This window comes from Homo sapiens, chromosome 4, assembly GCF_000001405.40.
Source record: "Homo sapiens chromosome 4, GRCh38.p14 Primary Assembly".
NCBI lineage: Eukaryota > Metazoa > Chordata > Mammalia > Primates > Hominidae > Homo > Homo sapiens.
The window spans coordinates 58,998,519-59,013,103 of record NC_000004.12 but is presented as its reverse complement, the minus strand read 5'-3'; the positions used below and the strand labels follow the sequence as shown (position 1 = coordinate 59,013,103).

The 14,585-nt window shown below is 33.9% G+C and overlaps 1 long non-coding RNA gene across 1 annotated transcript in view; it reads right to left on the bottom strand.

The window, feature by feature from the left end:
* Positions 1-14,585, bottom strand: part of LINC02429 (long intergenic non-protein coding RNA 2429) — a 62,678-nt gene that overhangs the window by 33,856 nt on the left and 14,237 nt on the right. The gene's annotated exons all lie outside the window — the stretch shown is intronic.

Sequence of the window (14,585 nt, the reverse complement as noted above, 5' to 3'; positions counted from 1 at the left end):
GATGTGCTAGCCCTTGTAATTGCACAAGATAAAGAAATAAATAGCATCCAAACTTAAAAGGGAGAAGTCAAATCATCCTTGTTTTCAGATGATATAATATTATTTGGAAAAACCAAAAGACTCCACACATACAAAAACTAGTAGAACTCATAAAGAAACTCAGTAAAATTGCAGAATATAAAGTCAAAATACAAAAATCAGTAACATCTCTATATACAAACAGTGAACAATTTGAAAAAAAATCAAGAACATAATCCCATTTACAATAGCAACAAGTAAAATAAAATACCTAGGTTTAATCTTAACCAAAGAAGAGAAAGATCTCTACAATGTAAACTATGAAACAAAAACACTTATGCAAGAAACTAAAGAAGACATAATAAAATGGGAAGATATTTCATGTTCATGAGTTAGAATAATCAATATTGTTAAAATGCCCAAAATAAGAATTGTTTAATACAATTCTTATCAAAATACCAATGACATTCTTCACAGAAATGAAGAAAGTAAACCTAAAATATGTAAGGAACCACTAAAGACCCACAATAGCCAAAGCCATGTTGAGCAAAAGAACAAAACTTGAGGAATCACATTACCAGAGTTCAAATTATACTACAGAGCTACTGTAATCAAAACAGCATGGTTCTGGCATAAAAACAGGCATATAGACTAATGGAAAAAATAGAGAACCCAGAAATAAATCCATACATCTACAGTAGGCTCAGCACAGGTGGCAAGAACATATACTGGAGAAAGAAGAGTCTCTCCAAAAAAAAAAAATTGTGCTGGGAAAGTTGAATATCCGTATGCAAAAGAGTAAAATTAGACCCTTATCTCTCAACATATTCTAAAATCAAATCAAAATGGGTTAAAGATTTAAATTGAAGACCTAAAGCTACTCCCTAAGGGAAAACATCGGGAAAACCTGCCAGTACGTTGTTTTGGGCAACAATTTCTTGAGTAATACTCCAAAAGCACAGGAAACCAAAGCAAAAAATGGACAAGTGGAATCACATCAAGTCAAAAAGCTTTGCCACACCAAATGAAACAATACATAAAGTGAAGATACAACCCACAGAAAGGAAGAAAATACTTGCAAACTCCCTATTTGACAAGGGTTTAATAACTAAAATATATAAGGAGCTCAAACTAACAAATAGGAACACATCTAATAATACTACTATGTACCCTTAATAATTAAAAATTAATAAAAGAAAAAATTTATAGGGAAATTTTGACCCGACCACAGTCAAAATGTTCCCAACCTCCTACAACTCTTGTTAGTACTCTTAATGTTTGTGTTTGTTGGTCACCTCTTCATCCCAACCCCTGCTTCTTCACCCCACCTTCAATATAAAAAGAAGCTGAAATTTGTTCTGACTTGAGATGGTCTTGGTAATACTTGTTCACCATCCTCTTGAGTGCCTGGCTCCTGTATAAACCTGCTTTTCCTCTTCACTCTTGTCCCTTGAGTTTGGTTTTCAAAGAGCAAGCAGCCAAACCTAGGTTCCATTACACCAGTGTGTTCCTTCATGTAAATTATGAACTTTGGGTGATAAGAACGTGTCAGTGTAGACTCATCAATTGTAACAAATGTATTGCTCTTGTGTGAGGTGTTGATAATGGGGGAGTCTATGTATGTGTACAGGTAGGGAGTATATGAGAAGCCACTGTACCTTCCAATCAATTTTGTTGTGAACCTAAAATGTTCTAAAACTAAAGTTTATTAAAAGAACGCTTTTGATATTTGTCACTTATTACTGCATGCGCTTTGTTCCCTGGCTGTCTCATGTTCATCCTTTTTTTCTAGGCCACATTCTTCCATAGTATACATCGACAGTGACATTGTGCTAGCAACATTTCCTATTAACACCCAGATACTTCTACTCTTTCTCAGTTGTTATATTTTTCCCTTGAGATTATTCCACCTATACAATATCAACAGAAATTATTTCAATCTTGGAAATAAAGATTGCAAGCTTGCCTACATTACAGAATCACAGCAAATTTCATATCCATATTCCTTGTTCCCATATGATATCAATTTCCAGAAAAGTACTCTCATTCAACATACACACTCTCCCACCCCCAAACAAACACAAGTGAATGTATTAGATTTATATGTGGAAACAATAAAAAGCTTAGGAGAAAGAGGCTCAGAAGTCAGTCATTCTCCCTTGACCCAGATATTAAAAGCTGTACACAGATGATGTACATATCCATAAAGCAAATAGCACTTCAGTACCAAAATTTGCCTCCTCAGTTGTGTGCCCAATTTTTTGGCATGCTTTGAATATTTCTTCTTGAATACTTCTACACATGTCAGTCTGCCTCAATTCTACCTGTTTTTTAAAGCCATTCTCACGTGTGATTTCCCTCATTTCGTCACTGGATATTAACACTAGTTCTTTGATTAGCATATTTTTAGAATATTTATCTTATTCAGCCCTGTATTGCAAGCATTGGGTCATCCACTTATTCAACAAATGTTTATGAAACCTTGACATCTGATGAGAATTAAGCCAGACTATGGGGATGAAGAGTAAGCAAAAGAGCTTCAGTTCATCATGGAGCTTACAGACTAACAGAGAAATAGACATCACTTATTATACACTGTATGCAAATTTTGAATAAGCAATATAAATTTCTATATGAGAGCAAATTTATATTTTACATAATTAGCTTCTTATCAAGGGCTCTGTTCAGTCCTTCAACATTAACATCGAACAACTATCATACTGTCATGCATATAATATGTCATTTGTAAATATTTGTTGAAATAAAAGTAGTCGAAGAGGTAAGGAACTTGTTGCGCATAAAGATATTTTTTTCTTTATTCCCATCAGTAGAAAAATGTAGGCAGTTTTGGTTTGTCACTGTGTTTTTGCTGTGCTGAGATTTCACTTTCAGCTGAGGTAGTATAGCACAGTTTTTCTATTGTGAAGTTATGCTTAGGTCTTAATGAGCATTTTGTGTGTGTGCCACACTTCAAATTTATTATAGATTTTGTCATTGATTTTTGAGAAATGGGCCATAGGAATTTCTATTTAAAAAGCTAAACCACATGTGTAATTTAAAGTGTTGCAAAGCCTCTACTGCATTCCTCATTAGATCTCCCTTTGAATTAAAATTGAGTTTTTAGGACTAGGTCAATACCTCCCATAGAGTAATTAGACTGTTTGGGCACTAGGTCAGAGTTCTAGACTCCAGCTGATACCATATATCAAAATTATGTATTAAATTATCTTTATGTGTTGCTAGAAATATGAAAACCAAATTTTATACTGAGATTTACATATATTAAAAATGAACAGAAAATTATTATACTAGAAGACATATTCTCCCAAGGCTACTTTTGTTTGGTGTTTTGTTTGATACTTTCCAAGCTACAACCTTCAGAACTGAACAAAAGTAATATATTTTTTTCTTAGCAGATAGAGCCAGGTCATATGTCTATTGCTATAGCACAATCACACAGTGGAAAGATACTGAACTAATTGGCAATACTGGGAAATAAAAAGAAGATCTGGATTAGAGTGATAATGTGAGAAAAGGCTCCATAAAATGTGTGGGCTTGTAAGGAGGCTCGTAAGCCTGAGAGAAATGAAGCTAGCAGTAAATGACCTTGGATGTCTTAGACAATGATAATATGCAATATTGGTATAAATAAATAAGGGGGAAAAGGTAGAAAATACTGATTATAAACTTAGCAACATGGAAAGCCAATTTACCAATAAATAATGCAATGTCCATATTATTATTTTTTATTTTTTTAATTATACTTTTTTAGGGTACATGTGCACAACATGCAGGTTTGTTACATATGTATACATGTGCCATGTTGGTGTGCTGCACCCATTAATTCGTCATTTAACATTAGGTATATCTCCTAATGCTATCCCTCCCCCCTCCCCCCACCCCACAATAAAAAATGATGAGTTCATGTCCTTTGTAGGGACATGGATGAAGCTGGAAACCATCATGCTCAGCAAACTATCGCAAGGACAAAAAACCAAACACCGCATGTTCTCACTCATAGGTGGGAATTGAACAATGAGAACACATGGACACCGGAAGGGGAACATCACACACTGGGGCCTGCAATGTCCATATTATTTTGAAATGTGTGGGGAACTCACTGGTGAGAAGTAGGGATAATACCCTTGTGTTATTTTTCTGAGAATAGCAAACAGAATGGGACACATATGGTAATAAAAATAGTAAAACAGTCATAATTTGATTTCATATATGTCCTAAACTGAGAGTTCTTGAATAAAGGCAAACTGATATCTAAAGTAAATTTTTGAAATATAGTAATAATATCAAGGCAGAATTTAAGTAGTTTTTTTCTGAAAATGTCCTATTTATGATAAAAATTGACTTAGAATTTTAGTCTGGTTATGAGGTCAGTAAGTTAAAGTTTAATACACTGATTAATTTCTCCAAAATAAAAGATGAATAAATATTATCTTTAGATTCAAAATGTATTTTTTCAATTTAGTACCTCATTATATGTCTAGTACTTTAATGTAAAACTATGAAAAATTTAAAAATTCCAAGGTATTGAGAATGACATTGTCCAGTTTTTAGACCATTCTCTAGGCATGAATTCAATAAATTTAGAGGAATAAATGTATATTTTATGAATGTCAACATGATGATGTCCTAGACTGCAGAAAGTTGCAACAGTTTTTTATGACTGCACGTGAACGTTCATATAAATGCACTGAATAGAAATATATATTTCATTAATTTTAACCAAAACATGGTTTGTTTTTTTTAAATTGACTTTTTAAGAACCAACTGAATATTTTCTAAATTTTGCAGAATATATTTATATTAAATTTATAATGCAATAAAATAACCAATGTGACAATAAATATCACTTAAATATCTCAAAAGATAGAAAACAGTGTCATGGAAGAAAATACAGCTAGCATATTCCAAGATATTTGTGACATATGAATTATTTTAGTAAGTCTTGGGCTAAAATTACTATTTTATGCATTTTATTTATATTACATATAAATTATGAGTAAAGCTAATGAAAAAACTTCTATGAGATAGCGAGCTCTTTTAGCAATTCTCATTGATTTTACCTTCTCTATATATATCAAATATGTATTTCATTCATTTTATAAACTAAGTTTAATAAAATATAATTTAAAAATTTCCTCAAACCCCTCAGCTCTGTTATAATATATACTACCATCTATAAAATTTCTAAAATGACTGTTAATATGTAGTACAGAAACATATTCTTTTCAAAGAAAATTAAATTCTAATAATGAGTGGTCAAACTTATTTCTCTCTATTCTTTTTCTTTTAGTGAATTGCCTATAAATAACAAAAGTGACACCCATAAAAAGCCGTTGTGATGTCCATATTGGTATTATGCCTAAAATTAACTACTAATTTATTTGTATGAAATAGTTCCTTTTATAGTTCATTAAAAAGTAGTTCTTTGTTGAACATCAGAAACATATAACAACCAGTAACCTTGTTACGTCATCATGTAGCTCTGCCACGATTAACAAGCTTCATACGGGGATTGCTTCTTATTTGTACCCAATTATGCGGGCATCAATTCGTAAAAGCATCATATGACTTATGTTTTACTACTTTTGTGTGAGTAAATTACCTTTCAATGAGTTGGTTGTAATGGTAACATAAAATCAATAACATGAACTCTTCAATTAATTAACTACTTAGGCAAATATTAAAATATCTTTAAATGCCTTCTTTTGTAAAAGGCAATAGCAAAACATCTAAGATGTTAAAAATGCAAAGAAGTTAACACCCTATTCGTACACTCCCTCCCCTTTTGAAAATCACTAATAAAACTTGCTGGTTTTACGGCTCGGGTGGCATCAGGGAACCTGCCGACATGTGATGTCTCCCCCAGACACCCAGCTTTAAGATTTCAAAAAAAAAAACAAACGAACAAAAAAACAGTAAAAAAATTTTCTGCTGTCCTTTATCTACACACACTTAAGACCTGTCTTTCTAGAGGCAGTGGCTGCCATGGCCAATTTATTGTAGATCTCAGCAGGGACAGTCTGTACATTGACACAATTATACATATATCTATATTTGCAGTTATATCTATATGAAAGATTGTATATATGTGTATATTTAGATAAACGTATATACTTATATACATATATATAGATATATATTTATTTAGGGACAGAGTGTAACACTGTCACCTGGGCTGAGTGCAGTGGCACAATCACAACTCACTGTAATCACAAACTTCTGGACTCAAGAGATCCTCCTGCCTCAGCCTCCCAAGTAGCTGGAAGTACAGGTACGTGCCACTATGTACAGCTAATTTTTAAATATTTCATAGAGACTGAATCTTCATATGTTGTCCCGGCTAGTGTTGAACTCTTGGCCCCAAATAATCCTCCTGACCTGGACTCCCAAAGTGCTGGGATTACAGGCATGAGCCACCATGCCTGGCCTTATATATTTACAAATTGCAATACTCTATATGCTTGCTCTGTACTGTTTTTTTCATTTAAGATTTTTCTAAATACATCTATATTAGCACAAATAGAGCTGCATTTTTCATTTTCACAACTGAATATATTTTTGTATGGACCTTTTAACTATGATTTTCTTTTACCTTAGATACCATAGGACCTCCTATATTTTAGAGAGACTTTCCAAAATAAAAATAATTACTATCATATTATGTATATTTCCTCAAATTCCGCATGTTGTTCAGTGCTTAATACATTTTTTCTTTGAAAATGCACTTTTGAAAACATTTTACTTTTTATTCTTTACATGTCTCTCATTTGAGATGGATGGGATCAAAATACCCTCATAATATTTCCAGAGTAAAAATGCAATTATTACTACAAATTTGCCTTTTATTTATTAAGCAATAAAATTGATAATACATGATATTGTCAAAATAAATCTGTGTCATTATTTGATGCGAAGAGGTGAAGACTGATATAATGAGTTTTAAAAATATGCTAAGAGTAGCAAAACAGATACGTTGAACTAAATGCACTTTCATATATATTAAATTTTCAGACATGGAAGAATAAGAAGAAATGTAGAATATAAAAAATAAAGAAAGGAGTAGGAAGGACAAACACAAGGAAGGAAGGAAGGGAGGGATAAGATCAGTTTTCAAACATAAAAATGTAGCATGCTAAGCTATTCAACTTACATTATTTTATTTTACTTTAACAATTTCCTGAGAAGTAAAGACAGTCACAAGTGAAAAACCCTTGGGCCAAGACTTTTCCATCTCTTGCTTTTTTATAAATAAGGTTTTATTGAAACAGCTATTGTCATTTATTTACTTACTATTTATGGCTGTTTTTTCCTGCTACATTGGCAACACTGAACAGCAGCATCGGTAACAGAAGCCATATGATCCACAAAGCTTAACATGGTTATTATCTGATCTGATACACACACACACAAACACACACACGCTTAACATTTTGGGAGAATAGTTCAAGCGTTTATTATATAACAACTATGTGTGTACTTTTCAATGATTATACTGTGTAATAAAATATTTGAATATACTTATTAAATCAGAGTATTTCTGAAAAAAATCCAAAATTTTAATGTAGACGTTAGTGTCCAAAGAAGCAAAACTAGAAATTTCAATTATCTCACTTGTTACCTCCAACTATTTTTGTTTTTGTTGTTGATTTTTGGTTCATTTCCTCACCCAGATATCTTGATTACACAAACTCAGTCTCATCAGGACCTACAGTCTGTTGATCCTACTCTTCTCTATCTTTCAGGGCTTCTATTCTTTGTTTTTTTTTTTTTTTTTTTTTTTTTTGAGATGGAGTCTCACTCTGTCGCCCAGGTTGGAGTGCAGTGGCGCTTCTTTCTGTTCTTACTCACTTAAATGCGATAGGTCTTTCCTACAATTTTGCCCTTACCTAAGCCCTCAGCTCCTTTATTCCTCTCTTGCCTCTTCATATTTTCTTAGCAAACTAAATCTGCTTAAATTCATGCTTTTGTGCCTGTCTTCAACACTCCTAAACAGTGCTGAACTAAAAGAAAGAACTAAATTTCTACCACCTAACTTTACCTGTGTTCATCTACTGTATCTTATATGCACTATCTTCTCTTTTGTTACTACAGCAATTTTCATGCTTCTAATAAAGATCATCCCCTCTAACTAGGCACCCTCTCCTTCCACTTCCAGAAATTCTTCTCTTTCTCTTGCATCCCAGTGTTCTCCTCCTCAAATTCCCAATGACATAAACACATATCATTTTTCTTATTTTGAGATAAAAGAATTATTGCTTTTGTAGTCACATATAGGTGCCTTTCCATTTTGTTCCTTCCCAGGACAGAAAAATGCTTTATATGCATCAGTGTCAACATTTTTATCTCATTCTATTCCAATAGAGTTTAACCTCCTCTCAAAATTGTCCTGTCAAAATTACCAGTGTTTGCATTTTGTTAATCTGGCAGTTATTTCTAATCCTGATTTTAATCAACCAAACAGCAAGATTTGCTCACTCATTTTTGCTTAAAAAACTTTTCTAGTTTGTTTTTTAGGGTGTGTACTTTTCTGCTTTTTCTTTGACCTAGTGGCTTTATGCTCCAGCTCTTTATTTATCTCTTCATCTCCCTGAAATCTTTATTTTATACTCTGAGTTTTGTTTTGTTTTGTTTTGTTCTTTGGATAAGTTCTTTTCCCTCTGAACATGCACTTTCTTGGTGATCTCAATCAATTATAAACATGTAAATGCAATCTATATGTTGAGGTCACAGATATTTATATTTTCAATTGAGCCATCTTTCCTGAACTCCAAATTTATATACCCAACTCCCTAATTCACATCTTTCCTCATTGTCCATACATCCAAAAACATCTCTTGAGTTCTTACACACCTCAGTCTTAAAATGTTCAAAACAAATCTCTTGATTTCTACTTTTTATCCAAACTTGCTTTTTCCATAACCATCCCAATTCTCAATACTACTAACTTCTTTTTGTCTAGCTACTTTAACCAAAGACCTTAGAAATATTCTTGAACTCTCTGTTTCTCCCAGGTCCCCATCTGATCTACCAGAAAATCCTGTCAATAGTCTTTTCAAACTTTACTAAAATATAACCACTACCACTACTTCTACTGCATGTATATGGGACATGGTCTTTCATTTAAAAAAAATATTTTTTTTTAGAGATGATGTCTCACTATGTTGCTCATCCTGGAGTGCAGTGGATATTCACAGACACTATCATAGTTCACTGCAGTCTAGAACTCCTGGGTTGAAGCCATCCTTCCACCTCTCAAATAGCTAGGACTACAGGTGCACACCATAACATCTGCTGGGCCAAGATCTTTCTAGGAATACGTAAGATTATTAACTGATACTCTTGTTTTAGCAACTGTCTTAAGCGTAAATCAGAGAGAGTAATCCATGCTCTCTAAGTCAGTATTGAAGAATAGGATAAAGCATTGTGACTGGTGTAATCACACAGTGAAGTGGCTTTGTTGCGTGGGGAAATACCTGAGATTCATCATTTGGCGGTGAGAAAATTAACTACATGGACACACGCCCATGGAGTGGGTTAAGGAGCGAAAAGTTTAATAGGTGGGAAAGAAGAGAACAGCTCCCCCATGCAGAGGGAGGAGGGCTTGGAATGGAATCTCCACTCATGGCTGGAAGCAGCAGGTAATATAAAGAAGCTTGAGGAGAAGGTGTTTGATTTACATAAAGCCCAAGGGATTGGTTTGACTAGGTGTGCCATTTACATAGTCCATGAAGAAACTGGCCATCCCACCTTAATCTTTTATTTGGTAAATGGGGTTGTTTACCTGGCTGGCCCCATGACACCTGCACAGGTGGCAACCAAGAGAAGGGCGGGGGAGTCACCATATTGGGTGTACCTGGCTTTTAGTATAGCTGCTGGCATTCCCCTCTGCAAGCTTCCAGCTTGTTTATCTATACTTGCAGCTTGGCTTTTCAGGCTGCTTTCTGTTAGAAAAGAAGTAGTTTGGGGGATGCTTTTTATTAAAAGAAAAGCTTTACCGAGGACTCCTGTACCCTCACTATCTGCCTAAATAAGTCCTTTTTAACTCCTTTATTAACGGGGCTATAAACTCAGATTCCCTAATTGTTGGGACTTGATGCTCTGTGGTTGCTGTTTTAAAATTCTTGATTGTATCTTCATTTCTGCTTTGTAAGTAACTGCAATAAGAAAATGAAGAATATGCTTCCACTATCTCTCTTCTTCTTGGGATGGATTCTCATCTCCTGGCTTCCTATATCTTGCTCGATTGCCCTTTTCTTGTCCCCATCATGCAAATCAAACACTGCCGTATTGTGCCTGGGTAGATGACTGGGTAGCACAGGCAACAGTGGACCCATGTTTCACTGTTGCTTGAAAAACAGGGGAGAGAGGATGGAAGGGCAGAGAGCAGGTATTGTCAGACTCACCATGAGGGTCCCACAATGCCTGGGGTATGACTATTCTTGCTCCCGATTACAAAAGAAGGTGTTCTCAATTTGGAGTGGGAGGATGGGTGTAAAACCACAAATCTGAAAATTAAATGAAGCCTTAAGTAGAAAAAAAAAATGGAGAAAAACCATCCTTTTGTTAGCTTGAAGTTGTGATCCTAGTTAAAGCAAGAGGTGATCCAGCAAGAAATCCAGCAGGTGTCAAAGCAAAAATTTTATCAAAGTTAAACAGGCAGGGCAGACCCTATTCAAGGCCATTATAATGAGGGAGTGTGTTAATTTGCTAGGGCTGCCATGCCAAGATATCACAGATGAGGTGGCTTAAAGAACAGGCACTTATTTTCTCAGTCTGGAGGCTAGAAATCCAAGATAAAGGTGTTGGTTTGTTTTACTTTTTCTGACGCATCTCTCCCTGGCTTGCAGGTGGCTGCTTTCTTGTGTTTTCAGTTTTTCCTGCTCCCCATGTGTCTCTTTTTCTATCCAAATGTCCTCTCTTTGTAAGGACAATAGTGAGATTTTGTTAGGACTCACAGAAATGGCCTTATTTTAACCTAATTATTTTTGAAGACCTTATCTCCAAATACAGTCATATTCTTTGGTTCTGGGAGGTCAGGGTTTTATCATATAAATTTGAGGAGACTACAATTCAGCCCATAACCAACAGAGAGGCCAAAACTCAATCTGAACTCAACTCTGCTGAAACAAAGTGTTAGAGAGATTTTATGAGCTGGCATGTGGAGATTGTAGGCCATCTGTGTTTGCTAATTAAATTTGTAAAAAGAAAAACTAAACTTCTCATAACTTTACGACATGAAGAAGATTTACAACTTGGAGCAAGGTGCCTACTCCAAATTAGGCTTCCATTCCTGCACAGAAATTGGGATATAGGAGCATTATCTTCCTTGGTGCTTACATTTTTAACGGATAGCTCCCCAAGTCTTTGAGAAGACAATCCTGGTTTTTAAGAGCTGGAAGAGGCTTTTTAAAATATTTACATCTCAAAGGAACAAAAAAAAATTATAATGAAAAGTTTTCTGAAATAAATACTCTATGAGAAAAAGAGGTCAAAAGCCTGGAATCAGGAAGAAGCTGAAGTTTAGTCAAGCCGAAGGGAAAGTTAAGCCACTCTTGTGACAGGAAAATCCTGGAAATTAGAGGCAGATGTATGGTTAGGTAATTCTCCACATATATTTTCCCAGGTGGAAAACTATGTCAAGTGTAGGGAATGCCAGTGAGAGCCTGGTAGAAAGTAAAAACCGGTGGAGAATTGAGAGTAAGAATCGAGTATGCTTCCCAACCTATATGCTGGTCCATGGGCAAAGGGAAAACCTTATGGCTTGAGAAATTTGATACAAACTCAAACTAAAATCATTTACTTAAAGAATTGTTTTATGAAAATGAAGGCATAGATTTTCTCCAACATCACAGAAGTTAGTGCTGTGAATCTATTTGTCCTTGCCAGAGACTGCAGAGAGCATCTGTATTTTCCACGGACATTTCAGTTCTCATTAGATCAGCTGGATCATAAGGGCCAAGTTGAAGAGTGGTTTTTTACTACATCCTGAACATGCTGCAGACCTTCTTCTGATCTGTCTCCATTTGAAACTTTAAGCCTTATTGGTGACTCTGTAGATTGGTCAGAGTAACACACTCAGATGTAGTATCTCCAAAATCCAAAAAGGCCAACTACAGGCACTATGCTAATTTGTTTTTTCTGGCAGGTCATGTGAGCTATAGAAACTTGTTTTTCACCATGAACAGACTATGTTGATATGCTCCAGAGAAATGAACCATCAGAAAATTTACTGAGATGACAGGTCTATAAATTTGTATGGATTTTAAAATCTCTTACCTTCAAGTTTTCATTTAAAATATGTGCCCATTCCTGATTATCATATACAGTCTGCCCAATGTTACTGTAGTAAATTTTGTGATGTCTTAAGGAATTTCAAGACAAATCAATATTTCTTCAGATCATATTATGGCAAAGAGCAGGAAAATTAGCATTTTCCTGAAGTAATACTGTGAAGATATACTATTGACCAAAATGTCCATGAAAAATATCAAATGTTCTCTGCCATCTTTTAGCAAGCAAAAACAAGAGATTCAGCTCACCTCATACTGTCTCTACAGATGCTTAAAGAATATTTCCTTTTCAACCTCTTAGTAACCACTTCATTTCACCATTTTATTTAACTCTTATCTACCCTAGTGTGATCTGCAATCTCCAGTTTCTATGAATTCTCTGCATTAATCCCATCTTTTATCTTTAACTTCTACTCATCTCTTATTTTTTCCCTACTTGTTTATTTTACTTTTTGTAATTTTAAAAAATATTTCTGTATTTTTTTGCATTTGTGCTTAAATTAGTCAATATTCAAAGAGAGTGAAATACCAAAAAAAAAAAAGAGGTTTTTTTACCATCAATATCATATTTTCTTATGTCTGGGAGCATTTTGTATTAAGTTTAAATTCATGTTCAAAGTATTCGTATGTAGACAATTGTGCTATAAAATAGGGACAGAATAGATATTTAAATTATTTATATTCCAAACAGTAATTATCAAAATAGCATCTTTCTTATAAAGATTTGTTCCTCTAGAAACAGAGAAAGGCATCTGTTATACAATATTTTTTGTTGTAATCATAAAAACAGATTATCTTATTATGAGGTACTAGCCAGGATATTGAAGTATATTTAATGGCATTGCCGGATAAGAGTACACTTATAAAACATTGCATTCTATGAAAAGTAACACATGTATTTTTGCCATTTTTTTTGCTTTCTTCTAAGCTGCATTTCTTTTCAATTATATTCATCAGGTAATCGGAGAAGAGGAAAACACAATGCTTTAGATCACCTGTACAGAAAATACTGCCACCTAAAGAATACTCTTTGGGTAAAATTCTGATAAGGTGATTGACTTTTTATTTTTTTAACAGAAAACATGAACAGTTATGTGTATATGGGGTTGCCAAAAGACAAAATTACCACAAATTTTGATTAAAGATCTAATTGGATTTTATTTGAAATTCTAGAATCCAGCACTATCTTGTTTTATAAAAGAGAATGAGTGTTCCAATGAGTTGAGCATAATATTTTGGCTTTACAAATAAAAAAGGGCTGAACAAAGCAGAAATAGAAAACAAGAAACAGATTCATCTTTTCAAAGCTGCTTTCCTTATAAGGTTAAAGTAGAGGGACATTCTTTCATGCTGGTTTGGATAAACTGGAGGCACCTTCTGATTGGTTGCTGTGAGTCTCCAGCTTTTGGAAAACTGGCAAATTTCTGAATTCAGTTTGATTTCACGGCACCTAGCATTAGTTACTCCATTCTAGTTTGGTCTCTTCAGCTGGATCCTAGTTTAGGAGCCTCATTCAAAACAATAGCCCCCCAAAACTTCATGTAACAGGGCCATATTTCTAAAATGAGAACACTTACTTATTCCTGTTTTGTAGACTTTACTAGTTTTAATTAAGGAAGAACTACAAAAATTGCACACAAAAAGGTTTATATTTCAAATACAAGATATGAGATCTAATGAATCAACACAGGCAAAAATACAATATTAAGAAGTGTTACTTAAATGTTATTAATTTTTATTGACACTTTGTGACCTAAAGAAAATCACCCACTTTTATAAGATGAGTTAAAATTGTAAATATTTACCATTGAAGAAAGAACTTGAATTTCTTCTTTTCTTTTAGGAAAACAAAAACTATAAAGATATGAATGCATTTTAGGAGGTATAAAAATGGGCTTTACTTTCAAATATGCAAGGCAATAATAAATATAATGTACCTACAATATTTATAATATCTCAGGTATGTCTTATTAATTAATCTTATCAGATATCCAATGAGATGCCATTTACTTAGAAAGAAACTTCATGTTAGGCAGGTTAAGTGATTTATCCATACTTACATATCTTAAGTAGAAGCCAGATTCATGTTTTTTTAAAAAATATATTTACCACAATAAGTCACAATAGAATTGTAAATGTCATGCTGAGAAACAAAAATATGTCAATATGCTAATGACTATAATTTGACAACAGTTGTCCATATTTATCTTTAATCATAATATAGTAATGATGGGGATCGTTTTAAAAATAGAGAAG